Source organism: Homo sapiens, chromosome 9 (assembly GCF_000001405.40).
Source record: "Homo sapiens chromosome 9, GRCh38.p14 Primary Assembly".
Classification (NCBI taxonomy): Eukaryota; Metazoa; Chordata; class Mammalia; order Primates; family Hominidae; genus Homo; species Homo sapiens.
This window is the reverse complement of record NC_000009.12, coordinates 19,083,315-19,104,627: the sequence shown is the minus strand read 5'-3', so window position 1 is coordinate 19,104,627 and position 21,313 is coordinate 19,083,315. Positions and strand designations below refer to the sequence as shown.

At 42.1% G+C, this 21,313-nt stretch overlaps 1 protein-coding gene across 3 annotated transcripts in view, besides 1 other annotated feature; it reads left to right on the top strand.

The window, feature by feature from the left end:
• Positions 1,482–2,045: an enhancer, noted in NCBI's record as "H3K27ac hESC enhancer chr9:19102581-19103144 (GRCh37/hg19 assembly coordinates)". NCBI's record gives its function as "activates a minimal SCP1, AML or CMV promoter by ChIP-STARR-seq in naive H9 embryonic stem cells {active_cell/tissue: H9 hESC(naive)}" and the evidence as "EXISTENCE:reporter gene assay evidence [ECO:0000049][PMID:30033119]".
• The window catches only part of HAUS6 (HAUS augmin like complex subunit 6), a 49,764-nt gene continuing 30,174 nt past the window's right edge, over positions 1,724–21,313 (top strand). For 2 of the 3 annotated variants that reach the window (NM_001270890.2, NM_017645.5), the window contains exons 1-7: positions 1,724–2,104; positions 7,859–7,954; positions 10,233–10,311; positions 11,325–11,457; positions 15,069–15,216; positions 17,472–17,537; positions 17,846–17,894. In NM_001270890.2, coding sequence (NP_001257819.1) covers positions 1,977–2,104; positions 7,859–7,954; positions 10,233–10,311; positions 11,325–11,457; positions 15,069–15,216; positions 17,472–17,537; positions 17,846–17,894 — 699 coding nt within the window. In that variant the 5' untranslated portion in view covers positions 1,724–1,976. Of the gene's footprint in view, positions 2,105–7,858; positions 7,955–10,232; positions 10,312–11,324; positions 11,458–15,068; positions 15,217–17,471; positions 17,538–17,845; positions 17,895–21,313 lie in introns of those variants that run through there. The other variant, XM_047423518.1, reaches the window with a different exon arrangement.

Below are 21,313 nucleotides of genomic sequence, written 5' to 3'. Positions count from 1 at the left end.
CTATGGGTGATAGCATAAACTTCAAAAGGTGCTTTTAGGCTGGGCACGGTGGCTCATTCCTTGGGAGGTCAAGGTGGGCAGGTCGCTTGAGCCCAGGAGTTCGAGCCCAGCCTGGGCAACTTAGTGGCTTTTCTTTCTTTCTCTCTCTCTCTCTCCTCTTTTTTTTTTTTTTTTTTGAGACAGAGTCTCACTTTGTCGCCCAGGCTGGAATGCAGTGGAAGGATCTTGGCTCACTGCAACGTCTGCCTCCCGGGTTCAAGCGATTCTTCTGCCTCAGCCTCCCGAGTAGCTGAGCTGGGATTACAGGCATGCGCTACCACGCCCGGCTAATTTTGTATTTTTAGTAGAGACGGGGTTTCTACATGTTGGTCAGGCTGGTCTCGAACTCCCCACCTCAGGTGATCCGCCCACCTTGGCCTCCCAAAGTGCTGGGATTATAGGCGTGAGCCACTGTGCCCCGCCTCTCTCTCTTTTATTAAGGTGATTTTAGTGAGGCAGGAGACAATCATTGCCAGAGGTAGCAATGAGACTTAAAAGCAGGTTACCCAATCCACTTCCAGGCCCTGTTGTCAGTGGGGTTTGTGGTAGGCAACAGCTGTCAATTAAGACGACGGGCCGGGTGCGGTGGCTCACGCCTATAATCCCAGCACTTCGGGAGGCCGAGGAGGGCGGATCACGAGGTCAGGAGATCGAGACCATCCTGGCTAACAGGGTGAAACCCCGTCTCTACTAAAAATACAAAAAATTAGCCCGGCGTGGTGGTGGGAGCCTGTAGTCCCAGCTACTCGGGAGGCTGAGGCAGGAGAATGGCGTGAACCTGGGAGGCGGAGCTTGCAGTGAGCCGAGATTGCGCCACTGCACTCCAGCCTGGGAGACAGAGCTAGACTCCGTCTCAAAAAAAAAAAAAAAAAAAAAAAAAAAATTAAGAGGACTGCAGGCGGCCAGGCGCAGTGGCTCACGCCTGTAATCCCAGCACTTTGGGAGGCCAAGACCGGCAGATAACCTGAGGTCAGGAGTTCGAGACCAGCCAGCCAACATGGTGAAACCCCGTCTCCATTAAAAATACAAAAAAATTAGCCGGGCGTGGTGGCGGACACCTGTTAATCCCAGCTACTCGGGAGGCTGAGGCAGGAGAATCGCTTGAACCCGGGAGGCGGAGGTTGCAGTGAGCCGAAATCGCGTCACTGCACCCCAACTTGAGCAACAAGAGCGAAACCCCGTCTCAAAAAAAAAAAAAAAAAAAAAAAAGACTGCAGGACTGCAGGGGAGTATAGAGCCAGATTTCATTTAAAGCAGGAAAAGGAACATCCGGCATTTGAGGACATAGATTTCGCTAACGACAGAAATGAGGCTCAGAGATTACGTGACTTGATTAGAGTCACAGTGAGCATAGCGGAGGATGGAACCAATGCTTTAACTCTACACCGAGGCATAGTGCTCCATTTATGGCTTTTTTGTGACGTAACAACTAGGATACACAAGCAAATGGACCCCACTAACCAAGAATCAGAAACCCGAAGGCCCGAGGATCTGGGCACGACAGCGGTTAAGCAAGCGCAGAGCAAGTCGCTGGCCGCGCAATGCCCGGTGGGTCTTGCAGTTTCTTGGCTGGGCATGGCCGGAAGGGAGGAGAGAAGGACGCATTGCATGGCGGGAGATATAGTCTTTGCCGGAAGTCCCTCCTCCCTCGGACGCCTGGCGGCGCCGGCGCACACTGCTCTTCCTTAAGGGCGGGAGTCTCGGTTTGTGGTGGCTTCGCTGAGGCAGTGGTGGCCGCACTATACCGTTAGAAACTCAATTTCCCGGAGGTTGTGAGGCCCTTTGAGGCGAAATCGCTCTGGGCGTGAAAGGAGCAGGCGTTGGCAATGGAAGGACCACCGCGACCTCAGGCTGACCGTAGGGAGGGATCTTGAGGGCCCTCCGAGTCCCCTGGGCTTGCGCTTTCTTTCTTTGCAGCCACCGTGCCTACCGCGAGGATGAGCTCGGCCTCGGTCACCGCTTTCGAGAAGGAGCATCTCTGGATGTATCTGCAGGCGCTCGGCTTCGAGCCAGGCCCGGCAACCATTGCCTGCGGAAAGATCGTGTCGCACACGCACCTCGGAGTGTAAGGAGGCCGGGGCCGGCGGGGCGAGGGAGCCTGAACCGGGGGACGCCGGGGGACTCCCCCTTTTGTAGACCCCGGAGGTTGATTAATCAGAATTGGTTGAGCAGTTACTCTGTGCCAGGCATTGGCTCCAAAGTTCCTACTCCCAGTTGCTGCCAGCCTAGGGGCAGAGACAGACAGTAAATAATGCAAGAGTGCCGGAAGCGCTCTGTAGGGGAGTGCAAAAGTCTGCAGATGGGGAGAGTGCAAGACTGGAGGAGCAGCTTAACTCTGCCTATGTGGTGGAGGGGTGGTCTGTGAAGTAGTGGGAGGGATGGCGGGTGGTAGTGGAAGAGCATGGGAACCATATGTACAAAACACCTTTTGGACTCAAGGGAGCCTTTGAAGGTGGTTGTTTAATTTTATAATTTTTAATTTTTTAATTAGTAAGGCATGTTGGAGTTAGCATAAAACAACGGAGAAGGGTATTAAAAACAAATACCCTTTTAAGAAAAGTATGGAAAGTAAAAGCCCCTTCCCTACTTTTTCCACTTCTGTTTTATCAACTTTAGCCAGTATCTCTATTTAATCATTCCCACTGTAGGCCAAGAGGAATTCTTTTCTTTCATATGGAGTCTCCCTCTGTTGCCAGGCTGGAGTGCAGTGGCACGATCTCGGCTCACTGCACCCTCCAACTCCCTGGTTCAAGCGATTCTCCTGCCTCAGCCTCCCGAGTAGCTGGGATTACAGGCACTTGCCACCACGCCCAACCAATTTTTGTATCTTTAGTAGAGACGGGGTTTCACCATGTTGGCCAGGATGGTCTCGATCTCCTGAGCTCATGATCCACCTGCCTCGGCCTCCCAAAGTGCTGGGATTACAGGCGTGAGCCACCGTGCCCGGCCTCTATTTTTTTAAAGTATTATTATTTTAGAGACAGTAGCTAACCATGTTGCCCAGGCTGGTCTCAAAATTCCTGGGCTCAAGCAATCCTCCTGCTTCGGTCTTCCAAAGTGCTGGGATTATAGATATGAGCCATTGTTTTTTGTTTTGAGACAGGGTCTCCCACTCTGTCGCCCAGTCTGGAGTGCAGTTGTGCGATCACAGCTCACTGCAGCCTCCAACTCCTGGGCTCAGGCGATCCTCCCACTTCACCCTCCTGAGTAGCTGGGACTACAGGTGCGTGGCACCATGCCTAGGGTCGGCATGTTGCCCAGGCTGGTCTTGAGCTCCTGGCCTCCAGCAATCCCCCCGCCTTGGCCACTCCAAGTGCTGGGATTACAGATGTGAGCCACCGAGCCTGGCCTGTTTTATTTATGTTCATAGTTGTACATATTTTGGGGATATAAAATTTTGATATTTTGATACACTTATACAATGTATAAGGATCAGATCAGGATAAATGGGATAGCCATCATCTCAAACATTTATCTTTCCTTTGTGTTGGAAACATTTCAGTTCTTTTCTAGCTATTTTAAAATACACAATAAATTATTTTTAACTATAGTTTCACTTATGTACTATTGAACACTAGAACTTATTCCTTCTATCTAACTGTATATTTGTACCCATTAATCAACTTCTCTTCCTCCCTCCTTCTCTCCTTTTCCTTTCCTAGACTGTGTTAACCACCATTCTACTCCCTACCTCCATGAGGTCCACTTTTTTTGCTTTCACATGTGAGAACATGTGATATTTGTCTTTCCGTGCCTGGTTTATTTTACTTAAGATAATGACCTCCAGTCCCATCCATGTTGCTGCAGATGACAGGATTTTCTTCTTTTTGTGTGGCTGAATAATATTCCATTGTGTATATATACCACAATTTCTTTATCCATTCATCTGTTTTCTTTATCCATTCAACTTAGGTTGATTCTGTATCTCGACTATTGTGAATAATGTGTCACTAAACATGGGAGTGCAGATGCCTCTTTCATATACTGATCTCCTTCCTTTTGGATATATACCCAGCAGTGGGATTGCTGGATCATAGGGTACTTCTATTTTTAGTTTTTTAAGGAGCCTATGGTTTCCCATAATGGCTGTACTACTTTACATTCCACCAACAAAGTACAAGCATTCCCTTTTCTCTGCAGGATCCACCATCTTGTAACACATGTCCACTTTAAATGCTTTCAACATGGATGTGGCATTAAATTTACTTTTTTGTTTTTATTTTTTGAGATAGTCTGGCTCTGTCTCTCAGGCTGGAGTGCAGTGGCCTGAATGTGGCTCACTGCAGCCTCCATCTCCTGGGCTCAAGCGATCCTTCCTTCCACTTCAGCCTCCCGAATAGCTGGAATTACAGGTGCCTGCTGCCACGCCTGGCTAGTTTTAATTCTTTTTTTTTTGAGATGGAGTCTTGCTCTGTCGCCCAGGCGGGAGTGCAGTGGTGCGATCTGGACTCACTGCAACCCCCGCCTCCCTGGTTCAAGCAATTCTCTGCCTCAGCCTCCTGAGTAGCTGGGAATACAGGCGCCTGCCACCACGCCTGGCTAATTTTTTTGTATTTTTAGTAGAGACCGGGTTTCTCCATCTTAGCCAGGCGGAATCTTAAATTCCTGACCTTGTGATCCACCTGCCTTGGCCTCCCAAAGTGCTGGGATTATAGGCCTGAGCCACCACACCTGGGCAGCTAAGTTTAATTCTATTCTTTTTGTAGAGATGGGTTCTCACTGTGTTGTGGAGGCTGGTCTTGACCCTCTGGGCTTAAGTGATCCTCCCGCGTCAGCCTCCCAAAGTGCTGGGATTACAGACATGAGCCACTGCACCCTGCCAAAGTTACTTTTAAAATTGCTCGATGCATTTGTAAATCCAGCTACTCAGAAGGCTGAGGTGGGAGATTGCTTGAGGCCAGAAATTTGAGACCAGCCTGGGCAACATAGTGAGACCCTGTCTCTTAAAAATGCAATTAGGCTAGGCATGGTGGTTCACACCTGTTAATCCCTGTGCTATGGGAGGGCAAGGTGGGAGTATTGCTTGAGCCCAGGAGTTTGAGGCTACAGTGAGCTATGATGGTAGCACTGCACTCCAGCCTGGGTAACAAGAGTGAGACCCTGTCTCTTAAAAACAAAAAAGAGGCCGGGTGCGGTGGCTCACGCCTGTAATTCCAGCACTTTGGGAGGCCGAGATGGGCGGATCACGAGGTCAGGAAATTGAGACCATCCTAGCTAACACGGTGAAACCCTATCTCTACTAAAAATACAAAAAATTAGCCGGGCGTGTTGGCGGGCGCCTGTAGTCGCAGCTATTCGGGAGGCTGAGGCAGGAGAATGGCGTGAACCCAGGAGGCAGAGCTTGCAGTGAGCCGAGATCGCGCCGCTGCACTCCAGCCTGGGGGACAGAGCGAGACTCCGTCTCAAAAAAAAAAAAACACAAAAAAACAAACAAAAAAAACCCCATTATTTTTTATTCACTTACATTTTATACGTATACGTTCTCTTTGGTTTGCAGTTTATGATTTTTTTGTTTCTATGACCCTGTAGTGGTATGACCACTTTTCTTTTTTTCTTTTTTTTTTTTTTTTTGAGATGGAGTTTTGCTCTTGTTGCCCAGGCTGGAGTGCAATGGCATGACCTCACCGCAACCTCCGCCTCCCAGGTTCAAGCGATTCTCCTGCCTCAGCCTCTGGAGTAGCTGGGATTTTAGGCATGCGCCACCATGCCCTGCTAATTTTGTATTTTTAGTAGAGACGGGGTTTCTCCATGTTGGTCAGGCTGGTCTCGAACTCCCGACCTCAGGTGATCCACCTGCCTCGGCCTCCCAGAGTGCTGGGATTACAGGCGTGAGCCACCGGGCCCGGCTCCACTTTTTTTAAATGTTAAACATAATGTATGACTCAACAATCCATTCCAAGGTATTTGCCCAAAAGGTTTGCAGTTTGGAAAAATCATATGGTTGCATTACAGAGAATAGATAGAAGGGGAAGAAGCGCTTTGCAGTTAATTATTTAGGCCTGAACTAAAGTGGCAGTAGGAATAAAAAGAGGTGATTCATTTATTTGTTCATTCAACAAATATTTATTGACCACTGTATTGGACCTGGCTATACAGTGGTGAAGAGAATAGATATAAATTTTCCCTTATATAATTTTTTTTTTTTTTTTTTTGAGACGAAGTCTTGCTCTTTTGCCAGGCTGGAGTGCGGTGGCGCGATCTTGGCTCACTGCAACCTCTGCCTCCTGGGTTCAAGCGATTCTCCTGCCTCAGCCTCCTGAGTAGCTGGGATTACAGGTGCACGCCACCACGCCCAGCTAATTTTTGTATTTTTAGTGGAGATGGCGATTCGCCATGTTGGCCAGGATGGTCTCAATCTCTTGACTCATGATCTGCCTGCCTTGGCCTCCCAAAATGCTGGGATTACAGGTGTGAGCCGCTGCACCCGACCCCTTACAGAATTTTAGTCTAGCGATGGAACAAATCTTCAACAAATATCTTATTACAAATTACAATAAGTGTCAAAGAGAAGAGAACAAGGTACTTTGTGAAAAAACAACAGGTTTGAGAGATGGTAAGGAAGTAGGATAGATGGAACTTCATTTGTGTTACTTGAAGAGTAGAGATGTTCTAAGGACAAAAGTGTTGTTTGACAAATGGATAGGCATAGGAACTTACGCAAGAGAATAGTAATCCTAAGTCAGAAATTCACTTGATTTGATTTTTTGGAAGGAAATTTCATGCTTTGCCGTTTAAGTTAACTCTTGATTCCTTATAGTTGTGTGACATTTTCTTAAAGGGTTTAGTGTTCTTTCATTTTTGTTTTCACTTTTTTTTTTTTTAGGCTTTGTTTTGATTAATTAGGGTAATTGGCACAATAAAAACTATTGCCAGCATTATGTTATAAAGATGGTTCTGGAAATAAAAATCTAGTAGTGAAGACCCTGGACTCTAGGGTGAGGTGACATATTTCAAATCAGTGCTTTCTCCACATCCTTTCCAGCACCTGTTGTTTCCTGACTTTTTAATGATCCCCATTCTAACTGGTGTGAGATGGTATCTCATTGTGGTTTTGATTTGCATTTCTCTGATGGCCAGTGATGATGAGCATTTTTTCATGTGTTTTTTGGCTGCATAAATGTCTTCTTTTGAGAAGTGTCTGTTCATATCCTTCACCCACTTTTTGATGGGGTTGTTTGTTTTTTTCTTGTAAATTTGTTTGAGTTCATTTTAGATTCTGGATATTAGCCCTTTGTCAGATGAGTAGGTTGCAAAATTTTCTCCCTTTCCGTAGGTTGCCTGTTCACTCTGATGGCAGTTTCTTTTGCTGTGCAGAAGCTGTTTAGTTTAATTAGATCCCATTTGTCAATTTTGGCTTTTGTTGCCATTGCTTTTGGTGTTTTAGACATGCAGTCCTTGCCCATGCCTATGTCCTGAATGGTATTGCCTAGGTTTTCTTCTAGGGTTTTTATGGTTTTAGGTCTAACATGTACTCTTAATAAATATTAGCTATTTATTGTTATTCAGTAAATGTAGGTTGTTACCATTATAAGGCATGTTTCTCTTGAAATAGGTTTTCCTTCCTTTTCTGTAGAGTGTTTTCATTAAAGCCAGTTCTGCCAGTCTTATATTGAATCTGTGTTTTCAGAATTAGAAAATGAAAGCTTGTATGTTTTTCTTACTGGTTATAAAATACACATGAATGAGAAAAATTAATTTGCCTTGACTTCCTGAAGAGAATGAAAACATTAATTTGTGTCAAAGTCTTACTCAGCTTTTGATGATGTTTAGCTTATTAACCTTTTTCTTTTTCTATTTCTATTTCATTTTTAACCACTAGGAACATGTTTGACAAGCTGAACCGTGATGCCTTTCATATAATTTCTTATTTTTTGTTTCAAGTTCTGGACCAGTCTCTCACCAAAGAAGTTTTCAAGTAAGGAAAAATAATTTCATTTTCTTAAATTTCTTTCCAAATTTGAAAATGGACAGCGTTTTGATACAAGCCAGAATTCTCTCCTTTTTTTTTTTTTTTTTTTTTTTTTGAGACGGAGTCTCACTCCGTCATCGAGGCTGGAGTGCAGTGGCGTGATCTAGGCTCACTGCAACCTCTGCCTCCTGGGTTCAAGAAATTCTCCTGTCTCAGCATCCTGAGTAGCTGGGATTATAGGTGACTGCCACGACGCCTAGCTAAGTTTTGCATTTTTATTGGAGCTGGGGTTTCACCCTGTTGGTCAGGCTGGTCTCAAACTCCTGACCTCAGGTGATCCACCTGCCTCGGCCTCCCAAAGCGCTGTGATTACAGGCGTGAGCCACCACGCCCGGCATAAGCCAGAATTTCAACTTGGCCTTTGACTGTTGTTTTGAATGAATATTACAAAATTCAGGTTTGAGTCTTATACATTTAATACTTAATCTTTATAAATCTGGGTGATTTTTTTCTTTGGTACATATCTTAAAATCATTGTGTATTTTATAAGTAATATAGTTTTTATAGATTTCTTAACATTTTATTTACGGTCTTAATAATTAAGCAAATTATTGTTAGCAAAACAATTAAATGATATCAATCCGTATGAACTTGATTTTGCCCAATTTTTTTTGCTCGGTACTCTGTGCCTTACTACTTTTCCTATAGGCAGTGTTGTTTTGTCTACACGGCTATCTGTAAATCCTTATTTTTTTCATTGATATATTAAAGCATCAATTGCTTTAGGCAAAAATCATTCCTATTACATTTACTCTACTGTTATATGCTATTGAATATTAGTTTAAGAAGGAGATAAAAATGTAAGCACCCACAAGTCTCAGTCCTAAGTTATTTTGCATGTGATTTGTGTTTCTGCTATCTAAAAAAGTGTTCAAATTTATTTTGATATTTATATTGTACCATCAATCTTTTATATAGAAAAGCAACAAGTAGGTCTATCGCTTAGGGCATTATTTTCATTTTTGATAATCTATTTTCAATATTTTGCTTTTATTTAAAGTTCTGAGTATGCAGGATAATAGGTATGTTTGGATGATTTTTTGGAATTCCCTATTATTAAGGTATAGGGTTTCTTCTGTCCAAATAAAAACAGATTTTAATTTTTTTTTTTTTTTGCTGATTATCAACATTATGGCTCATTTTAAGTAATTCAGAAAATATAGGAAAATGTAAAAATTGTTTTGAAACCCGTCAACCATGGAGTATCACTGTTGACATTCTAGCCTTTTAGTCTTTTTGTTTCCTATGCATGCTCAGTTTTTTCTGTGAATACTGAATGTAGTTATAGAAAAGGTATGAGGCCTTAAATAATTATGCCTCAGAATAAAAATTTGGAAAAGCCTGACTGTGAAAGGAAAGCAGTAGGTAAATTTTAAACCCTAATATTTTTGACCAAAGTTGAAGCAAAACTTCTCTTTTTAATGTTTTTCTGTCTTGTTTAGCCACAAAATAATAGCACCCACAGTTATGATAAGGATTATCTCTAGGAGTCATAATCTTGTATGCCATTTTTTCTCTTCTTCATATATATCTGTTTATGTTTCTCTCTGGCAAGATTACTATTTCTTTTCAGGCTTAATTTACTAATTTATTTATATTGTCTTTATGCACTAGTCCAGTGGATCCATTGAGATTGTTGTCTTTAGCTGATTTTCAGCAATTTTTATAGCTGTTCATTCCCTCATTTAATACATTTTAGTTATTTGTATGACACAGAACTCAACCCTATAGATGTTTATAAATAAAAAAATTAAATTTCTCACAGGTTGGTGTCTCTCTAGCTGTTATCTAAGAAGGTTAGCTTTAATTCATTTCACTTTAATGGTTTTTTTTTCTTTTGAGACAGGGTCACCCAGGCTGCAGTGCAGTGGTGCCATCTTGGCTCACTGCAGACTCCATCTCCTGGGTTCAAGCAATACTCGTGCCTCAGCTCCCGAGTAGCTGGGGCTATAGGCGCACACCACTATGCCTAGTTAATTTTTATATTTTTAATAGAGACGGGATTTCTCCATGTTGGCCAGGCTGGTCTCAAACTCCTGGCCTCAAGTGATCTGTCTGCATTGGCTTTCCAAAGTGCTGGGATTAAAAGTGTGAGCCACCGCGCTTGGCCATGCATTAATATTTCTGGTATTAGAAATAAGTTTGATTTTTAAAAAATTTGCTGAGGCTTTTTTTTTTGGCTATTGTTGTGCATAGTCCTTACGCTTTTATTTTTGTTTTCCAGATTTTGTTGGCCCCCATTTGACCAAAAAAGTGACACTGAATTCCGAAAACATTGCTGTGAATGGATAAAAAGGATTTCTGTAAGTATTCTTTTTGTTAGAAGATACAGACTTTAAGAAGTTAAAAACTACTTTAACTCTTTAACTTTTTAGAGGTGAAATCCTTTTAATGCTTTAATGCTATCAGTATAAGCAAGGAAATATTAGTTAAAATAGTCTTCTTTGATGGTTTTTGGTTGGGATTCTATATATTTCGAAGAAACCAGCTTTGCTGGCCAGGTGTACTGAAAATAGGCTTTAGAGTTCCTGAGCGTTTATAGCACAGTTTTTGTTTAAAGAAAACTTTTCCAACCGTATATTATTTTAGTTTGTTTGCCCAGATAGTATCAATGATTGTGTCTGTATCATTATAATTGTTTTTTCTGACCAGGTCCACGTAGAGTTTAGAAAAACCAAAACATGTAACTTGTGGTTTAAAAGGAATAATTCTGATCAAATTCTTTATTTTATTTTATTATTACTTTTTTTTGAGACAGAGTCTTCTTCTGTCACCCAGGCTGGAGTGCAATGGCGCAATCTTGGCTCACTGCAACCTCTGTCTCCCAGGTTCGAATGATTCTCCCATCTCAGCCTCCTGAGTAGCTGGGATTACAGCCATGTACTACCATGCCCAGATAACTTTTGTATTTTCAGTAGAGACGGGGTTTCACCATGTTGGCCAGGCTGGTCTTGAACTCCTGACCTCCAGTGATCCGTCTGCCTCGGCCTCCCAAAATGCTGGGATTACAGGTATGAGCCACCACACCCAGCCCTGATCAAATTCTTTTATGCTTCAAAAATAGTGTGATGAGGAGACAGTGGCCTGGGGGCCTTACCCACTTTGCTTTGCACTCTGCTGCACAGTTGGATGTGTCCAAGCCACTGTGCTATGAAGAGGTCCTAGGGAACCCCACGCCAACCTATAGCATAGTACTTATGAAAATGTGGGACTTCTATTGCAAGACTGTCACACCCTTTAACAAAAATAGTGTGATGTAAATGTAAGAGTTATTGTTAACAAGGTCTTCAAATCATCTTATTTCTTTTCTTCATAGGGTGAATGTGGAAGTAGCTTTCCTCAAGTTGTTGGTTCACTATTTCTTTCTCCTGGTGGTCCTAAGTTTATTCATCTGATGTATCATTTTGCAAGATTTGTTGCAATGAAATATATTAAATCCAATTCTAAAAGTAAGTTCAACTTATAAAAGATTTTTTGTTTTGATTCTTAAATTTTTATTGTTCTTTACAATTTTTAAATCGTGAAGAGATCTTAGTAAAATCAAGGTAAGTTAAAACATTAATGTACCCCAAAAAGGAAATGGTTAATATTCTACTGGAAGTGTACTTTAAAATCTTCTCATAATAAACACAGTTACTATTTATATTATTTTATTATGTTCTAATACAAGGGTTGGGAAACATTTCTTTTTTTTTTTTTTTTTGAGACACAGTTTCGCTCAAGCTGGAGTGCAATGCTGTGATCTTGGCTCACTCCAACCTCTGCCTCCCAGGTTCAAGCAATTTTCCTGCCTCAGCCTCCTGAGTAGCTGGGATTACAGGTGTCTGCCACCATGACTGGCTAATTTTTTGTATTTTTATTAGAAATGGAGTTTTACCATGTTAGCCAGGCTGGTCTTGAACTCCTGACCTCAGATTATCTGCCCACCTGGGCCTCCCAAAGTGTTGGGATTACAGGTATGAGCCAATGCGCCTGGCTTTTTTTTTTTTTTTTTTTTTTTTCCGAGACGGAGTTTTTTTTCTTGTTGCCCAGGCTGGAGTGCAATGGCGCGATCTTGGCTCACCGCAACCTCTGCCTCCTGGGTTCAAGCGATTCTCCTGCCTCAGCCCCCGGAGTAGCTGGGATTACAGGCATGCACTTCTACACCCGGCTAATTTTGTATTTTTAGTAGAGATGGGGTTTCTCCCTGTTGGTCAGGCTGGTCTCAAACTCCCGACCTCAGGTGATCCGCCTGCCTCGGCCTCCCAAAGTGTTAGGATTACACCAAAGTGTTAGGATTACAGGCATGAGACACCACACCAGGCCTTTTGTTGTTGTTTTTTTTTTTTAATACCAGGGTTACACCATATTTCCCAGGCTGGTCTTGAACCCCTGTGCTCAGGCAGTCTTCCTGCCTTGGCCTCCTAAAGTGCTGGGATTACATGCATAAGCCACCGTGCCCGGCGACAACTGATACTTTTATCACTATTGTATGGATAATGTCTGTTTTCCTAAAGGCTTATTAGCATCGTATGTGACCAGACATTTTAATCTTTTCAGTCTGATAGGTTCCAGTGGAATCTCAGTATAGTTTTAATTTGTATTTCTTTTATTAGTGAGGTTGAAAATTGTTTCATGTTTAAGAGCAATTTGTACTTAAAAAAAAATGTTTATTTTTTGGCTGAGTGTGGTGGCTCATGCCTGTAATCCCAGGACTTTGGGAGGCTGAGGTAGGCAGATCACTTGAGGTCAGGAGTTCGACACCAGCCTGGCCAACATGGTGAAACCCTGTCATTACTGAAAATACAAAAATGAACCTGGCATGGTGGTGGGCACCTGTAATCCCAGCTACTTGGGAGGCTGAGGCACGAGAATCGCTTGAACCTGGGAGGCAGAGGGTGCAGTGAGCCAAGATCGCACCACTGCATTCCAGCCTGGGTGATAGAGCAGACTCAGTCTCAAAAAAGTTTTATTTTTTTTTAAGAGATGGGGTGGGTCTCCCTATGTTGCCCAGGCTGGTTTTGATTCGAACTCCTGGTCTCAAGTAATCCTGCCACCTTGGCCTCCCAAAGTGCTAGGATTACAAATGTAATATAAGAATGTTTCCAGTTTTTCTGCTACTGGATGATCTGCCCCAATTACATGTAATACAAACTATTTTATATAAAATATGTGTGTTTGGATTTAATAAGGCATAAGACTTCTAAGCATGGATTGTCCTATTTCTGGATTTAAACCAATTCCAGTCAACGTGTTCAGAGTCTAGATAACTTCTAAATTCGGTACACTCATTTCCTGTTAAATATTTAGAAATTTTGGTGGTTTCTTTTTTTTTTTTTCGCAGACGAAGTCTCACTCTGTTGCCCAAGCTGGAGTGCGGTGGCGCGATCTCGGCTTACTGCAACATCCACTTCCCGGGTTCAAGCGATTCTACTGCTTCAGCCTTCCGAGTAGCTGGGACTACAGGCATGCGCCACCATGCCTGCTAATTTTTTTGTATTTTTAGTATAGATGGGGTATCATTATGTTGGCCAGGCTGGTCTCGAACTCCTGACCTTGTGATCCACCCGCCTCGGCCTCCCAAAGTGCTGGGATTACAGGCCTGAGCCACTGCGCCCGGCCAATTCTGGTGGTTTCTCTGAGGCAATGCTAGAACCTGGATAAGCAATGTTAATACATTGTGGAAGTCCCTGATTTTCAGAATATTCATGTTTTTGTTGTATTGAACCATGTTAAAGTAGGATTTATTACAGGTAAAAACCTGAACTCTGAAATATTTACATGAGTTATTCTCAGGTCTACTCTGGTTTTTAGTAACACAGTGACGAATTGTTTGAGAAATGAACAGTGGTTTTATTTGGTTATCCTGTCCTATTGGTCTTACTAGGAGGAAAAGTAAACTGATGGCAGCAATGGAGATGATGTGATCTCCTCTTATCTTTTTATATTGACTTTCTTCCTTTGTTAAAAGATTCTATGGCTGGGCGAGGTGGCTCACGCCTATAATCCCAGCACTTTGGGAGGTCAGGGCGGGCGGATCATGAGGCCAGGAGATCAAGATCATCCTGGCTAACAGGGTGAAACCCGTCTCTACTAAAATTACAAAAAATTAGCCGGGCGTGGTGGCGGGCACCTGTAGTCCCAGCTACTTGGGAGGCTGAGGCAGGAGAATGGCGTGAACCCTGGAGGCGGAGGTTGCAGTGAGCCGAGATCACGCCACTGCATTTCAGCCTGGGTGACTGAGGGAGACTCCGTCTCAAAAAAAGAAAAAGAAAAGATTCTGTTTGGAAGCAAAGTAGCTCTTATTATAATTTGAGGTATCTATAAATAAATACACTATTACGGATATAAATGTATTTCTAGATATCTCAAATTATAATAAGAATTTTTTTAGGTGGATACACTCTGAAAATTTTTAATTGTGTAAAATAACTCGCCTTTAGAAATCTTTTTTAGTTGCCTGCCTTAAAAAAAGGTCATCTTACTTTCATTAACATTAGTTGTGTCAGGCTGAATGTGGTGGCCTGTAATCCCAGCACTCTGGGAGACTGAGACAGGAGGATCCCTTGAGTCCTGGAGTTCAAGACTAGCCTGGGCAACACCTTCAGACCCAGTCTCTACAAAAAATAATAAAAAAAAAACTAGCTGGGCATGGTGGTGCGTGCTTGTAGTCTCAGCTACTCTGGAGGCTGAGGTGAGAGGATTGCTTGAACCCGGAAGGTTGAGGCTGCAGTGACCTATGCTTGTGCCACTGCACTCCAGCCTGGGCAATAGAGTGAGACCCTGTCTCAAAAAAACAACCCAAAATACCAAAACAAAACATTAGTTGTTATATGTTTGTGGTATACTAGCTTTTGGGGAGTTGTTAGTTACGTGATGTTAATTTAATTTCTTAATATTGAAATTCAACATTTTTGGTATTTATTAGCTTGTAAGTCTGTTTTCCTTTTTTTAAAAGTCAATCAGATTTAGCAGTGGGAGATTGTATACCACCAACGTTAGTGACACTAATGTTCATTTCTGATAACCCACTACTATCAGACCAGCCTGTTTTCTATAATCTTATTTGTGTTCTGTGTAGATTCTTCTCATCATTTTGTAGAGACATTTAACATAAAACCACAGGACTTGCACAAATGCATTGCCAGATGCCATTTCGCACGTAGCAGATTTTTACAAATTTTGCAAAGACAAGATTGTGTTACCCAAAAATATCAGGAAAATGCACAGTAAGTAGTACCTTGATAGTTAGAAAATAATTTCTTTCTTTTGAACAGATGTCACCAATATAATGTCAGGAGAAATAATCCATGCCTACCTGAAAACCTTGGCGGTTATCTTTCTATTTTAAAGTCAGATAACTTCTTCTTCTTTTTTTTTTTCCCTATCTGAGACAGGGTCTGGTTCTGTCACCCAGGCTCCTAGGCTGGAATGCAGTGGCGCGATGTCGGCTCACTGCAGCCTCTGCTTCCTAGGCTTAAGTCATCCTCCCACCTCAGCCTCCAGAGTACCTGGGATTATTGGCGCAGGCCACCATGCCCAGCTAATTTTTGTATTTTTAATAGAGACGGGGTTTCACCATGTTGCCTAGACTGATCTCAAACTTCTGAGCTCACGTATTCTGCCCATCTCAGCCTCCCAAAGTGCTGAGATTACAGACATGAGCCACTGTGGCTGGCTATAGTCAGATAACTTCTGCCTAAAATATTTTAAAACTTTAGGGAAAAAGAAAAGATCACTTTACTTATTTATTTATTTATTTTGGGATGGAGTCTCGCTGTGTTGCCCAGGCTTGAGTGCAGTAGTGCAATCTTGGCTCACTGCAACCTCCACCTTCTGGGTTCAAACGATTCTCCTGCCTCAGGCTCCTGAGTAGCTGAGATTACAGGCGCCTGCCACCACGCCTGGCTCATTTTTTTTTTTTTTTGTATTTATAGTAGCGACCGGGTTTTGCCATGTTGACCATGCTGGTCTCGAACTCCTGACCTCAAGTGATCCGCCTGCCTTGGCCTCCCAAAGTGCTGGGATTGCAGGCATGAGCCACTGTGCCCGGCCCACTTTAGTTTAAAAAGTTCAGTTTTCTTATGTGCTTTGTAAAATATGGAAATATATTTTAAAGTTGTAATTGTAGTGTTTATTTTATTTCGTATCCTTTTTTGTCTTGCTATTTCATTCTGTAAATTTTTGCATATTGCCATAGTGTATTACTATTTTTTTTTTTTTTTGAGACGGAGTCTCACTCTGTTGCCCTGGCTGGAGCGCAGTGTCACAATCTCGGCTCACTGCAACCTCCACCTCCCAGGTTCAAGCAATTCTCCTGCCTCAGCCTCCCGAGTAATTGGGATTACAGGTGCATGCTACCATGCCTAGCTAATTTTTGTATTTTTTAGTAGAGAAGGGGTTTCGCCATGTTGGCCAAGCTGGTCTCGAACTCCTGACCTCAGGTGATCCACCCGCCTCAGCCTCCCAAAGTGCTGGGATTATAGGCGTGAGCCACTGTACCCTACCAGTGTATTACTTTTAATGTCTATTAGTCCTGTTAGTGGATATTTCATTAAGCAGATATTCTTTCAGGTAGGTAGTCCATCATTTTTTTAAACCACTTAATGCTATTTTATGTTTAGGTTCATCTATGCAGCATATCTTTTTTTCTTGGAGTTTCTTCTATGTGTCAGATACTGTTTAGGCATTGATATTACAGAATTAAACAGGACAGACAAGGCTGTTACTCTCAAAGAATAGGTTGTATATAATTGTGTGTGCATGTGGTTTTTTTTTTTTTTTTTTTTTTTTTGAGACAAGGTCTTGCTCTGTTGCTTAGCTAGACTAGAGTGCAGTGGCATGATTATGACTCACGGCAGCCTTGACCTCCTGGGCTCAAGTGATCTTCCCACTGTAGCTGGGAGTACAGGCGTGTTCTACCACACCCAGCTAATTTTTAAATTTTTTTGTAGAGACAGGGTCTTGCTTTGTAGCCAGGCTGGTCTCAAACTCCTGGCCTGAAGCCACATTCCTGCCTCAGCCTCCCAAAATATAGGCATTACAGGTGTGAGCCATTGCACCTGGCCTAATTTCTTTTTTGCAATTGTAAACAGTTACAGTAGGATAACTTTGTAGAATGCTTTGTTATATATTACTAAAGCTATAGAATCCTTTGAAATTAACTGAAATGTTGCCTGACTGTATTAGATAACATTTAAATTTATTCCTGGGTATGTGAGATGAGGATAAGAGCAGAGTCGTCTTACTAACCTCCATCATTTTAATCGGAGAGGATATACTAACCTATGAGTCCTAGGTCCATCTCAATAGGAGCCTGTATGTTGAATCACTTGTGTGATAAAGAGAGTCTAGAGTCCTTTAGCTTGCTGGTGGCTGTACCCAGAGGCCTTAAACAAGGATATGCAAAGGGAAAATAGAGAAGTGGGCTATACTAATTAATCGTAATGGTATTATAGTTGTCATTTTGTATGTTTTCTTGCAGATTATCAGTTAAGCAGGTACGAAACTTGAGATCTGAATGTATAGGATTGGAAAACCAAATAAAGAAGTAAGTGACTTTTAGAGCTAGAAGTTGCCTTAGATACTAGTTTAGCTCTTGCATTTTACAGGCTAGGAAACAGACTCCCACAAACATTAATTAAAATAATATATCAATAGCCAGATGATGATAGGATTAGAGCATAGTTATGACTGCTAATCCAGTTTTCCTAATAAATTATTATCGCTTTCAGATTAAATTTTATTTTTTGTTGGGGTGGTTGTTGGTGGGTTGATTTGCAGACTAATTAGCTCTTTGGATATTAAATTACCATGTGATTTTTAATATGACTAATTAGATTATTTAATTTTTATTAGAATGGAACCCTATGATGACCACAGTAATATGGAAGAAAAAATTCAAAAGGTGAGACAACTTATAAAAGGAGAAATTTAATCTTTTAAAATTCTGTGATACGCAGTGTTTGCTTAATTAGTGGGACTCTTATAGTCTATTTACCACTTTTTTTTTTTTTTTTTGGAGTTGGAGTCTCGCTCTGTTGCCCAGGCTGGAGTGCAGTGGCATGATTTTGGCTCACTACACCCTCTGCCTCTTGAGTTCAAGTGATTCTGTTGCCTCAGCCTCCTAAGTAGCTGGGATTACAAGCATGCGCCACCACGCCTGGCTAATTTTGTGTTTTTAGTAGAGATAGAGTTTCACCATGTTGGCCAGGCTGGTCTTGAACTCTTGAGCTCAGATGATCTGCATGCCTTGGCCTCCCAAAGTGCTGGGATTACAGGCATGAGCCACCGCGCCCAGCCTCCCTTCCCCTTCCCCCTCCCCTCCCCCTTTTGAGATGGAGTCTCACTCTCCCAGGCTGGAGTGCAGTGGCGTGGTCTCAGCTCACTGCAACCTCCACCTCCTGGGTTCAAGCAATTCTCCTGCCTCAGCCTCCCTAGTAGGTGGGATTACAGGTGTGTGCCAATATGTGCAGCTGATTTTTGTATTTTTGTAGAGATAGGGTTTCGCCATGTTGGCCAAGCTGGTCTTGAACTCCTGACCTCAGGTGATCTGCCCGCCTCAGTCTCCCAAAGTGCTGGGATTACAGGCATGAGCCACTGCGCCCGGTCCCCTTTCTTTTTATAGTACTATTACTTTTTTTTTTTTTAAAACTCATAGGTTGTATATATAAAGATATTGATAGAGTGCCTCTAAAACACTTGAATATAATGGAAAAATGAACTTATAGTTCATAAGCTTAATTATATTCAAAAGGGTTTTTAGACATGATTAATTTGAAATTCTCCACCCCAGTACAAAAAGCTCTGCTTGATTGTAGTATAACCTAGTCAGTGGTATTAATTTATCTAAATAAAATGGATTAACTGAAGGGAGATGTTAAGTATGAAAGGAAAATGAGGAATCAAAATGAGTCTGGTTTGGCAGGAGGGAGGATTCTGACAAATGAAAATGATCTGAGGCCTCCAGAGTTTGGCTTTGATGTGAGTTAAGTATTTTCTTAGGTTTTCTTTTTTTTTTTTTTTGGATAAAATCTCTCTCAAGCTCTTTGTTGTGATTCTGTGATTGCCATGCCAAGCTGCTGTGGGTATAAATTTGGCTTCCAAGGCACATTGTCACCTGTAAAGGTTAGCGCCCTCTTCAGGAAATATTTTTATTCAGTGAATGTATTGATCATCTGATATGTGCTAGGTATCTCGTAGACATTAGGGCTACAACAATGAGGAGAACAGGCAAGGCAAAGTCACTTCCTTCATGGAATTTTCCATTTAATGAATCTCTGATTGCAAATTATATAATTAAAATAATTTGCAGAACCTATTAAAGTTTTCACATCAGTCTCTTCTGAGTTTGGTTCATATTTGTTTTCCCTGAGTACAGTCAACTTTGAGCCATTGTCAAGATAAAAATCTAGACTTGGAAAATATGAGAACCAGATCCTGGACAATTACAGATTCATCAAGGAAATGCCATTCTGTGAGACCTCTAGACTGCTAGCCAATGAGTCTTCCTTTGGGAACAACTTTACCTTGCCATACAACATGTCAGAGATATTTAGGGTGGCACACACCTATAGTTTCACCTACTCAGGAGGCTGAGGCAGGAGGATTGTTTGAGCCCAGGAGCTCAAGGCTGCAGTGTGCTCTGGTTGTGCCAGTGGACTGTAGCCTGGGCAACAGAGCGAGACCCGTCTTAAAAAAGAAAAAAAAAAGAGGCGGGGGTACAGTGGCTCACGCCTGTGAGCACTTTGGGAGGCCGATATGGTTGGATCACTTGAGGCCAGGAGTTTGAGGCCAGCCTGGCCAACATGGTGAAACCCTGTCTCTACCAAAAATAAAAAAGTAGTCTGGTGTGGTGGTACTCACCTGTAGTCCCAGCTATTTGGGTGACTGAGGCACAAGAATCACTTGAACCTGGGAGGCAGAGGTTGCAGTGAGCCAAGATTGTGCCACTGCACTCCAGCCTGGGTGACAGAGTGAGACCTTGTTTCAAAAAAAAAAAAAAAGAAAAAAGAAAAAAAGTGAACTAATTAGAGATATTTAATATTGTATTTTTATCGTGCAGGAAGAACATGTGTATAATTATATTTCTCCACCTCCCTCCCTCTTTTGTAAATTCTGTTAATGCATAACATATATACAAGAAATGTGTAACTCATAAGTATATAGCTTGACAAATTTTCACAAAGTGAACAAGTCCATGTAACCATCATCATTTAAGGAATAGGATGTTACCAGCACCCTAGAATCCTCCTTGAACCTGTTTAGTTTACACTGTTTGCCCCCACGGGGAAACAGTGCCCTCACATGTTACACTAAAGATTAGTTTTGCCTGTTTTTGAACTTCATATAAATGCCAGTATATAGAATATATTCTTTTGTGTCTGACTTTGGCTCAACATTGTTTATGATATTTATCCATGCTGTTGTGTGTAATTGTAGTATGTTTATTCTCATTGCTGCTTAGTGTTCTATTTTATGAATATAGCACCAATGTACCCTTTTTACTCTGGATGGACCTTTGGATTGATTCTACTTTTTGATTGTTACAAATAGACATTCTATGAGTATTCTTTTTTTTTTTTTTTTTGCAAGGATCCTGGGCTTAAGGGATCCTTTTACCTCAGCCTTCTGAGTAGCTGGGATTACAGGTATGCGCCACTGTGCGTGCCTAAATATTCTTGTATATCAATTTTAATGAATATAGATTAGTATATGCCTAAGATTTTTTGCTTTTAATGAGGCATAATTTTTTACACTTTAACTTCCTCAAACTGAATGACTTAAAATTGAGATGTAGTAGTTTTTTTCTCTTGAAAAAAAATTTTTTTTTTTTTTTTGAGATGGAGTCTTGCTCTGTCCCCTAGGCTGGAGTGCAGTGGCGCGATCTTGGCTTACTGCAAGCTCCGCCTGCCGGGTTCACACCATTCTTCTGCCTCAGCCTCCCGAGTAGCTGGGATTACAGGCACCTGCCACCACGCCTGGCTAAGTTTTTGTATTTTTATTAGAGACGGGGTTTCACCGTGTTAGCCAGGATGGTCTCTATCTCCTGACCTCGTGATCTGCTTGCCTCGGCCTCCCAAAGGGCTGGGATTACAGACGTGAGCCACTGCGCCCGGCTTCTCTTGAAAAATTTTTAAAATTATTTCTCCCTGAATGATCTTCATTCGATTAATTACATGTCAGCATATAGAAAATGCTAATTGTATCTTGTATAAGATTTCTTAGATTTGGAGCTGGGTGCAGTGGTGCGTGCCTGTAGTCCCAGCTACTTGGGAGGCTGATGTGGGAAGATTGCTTGAGCCCAGGAGTTTGAGTCTGGCCTGG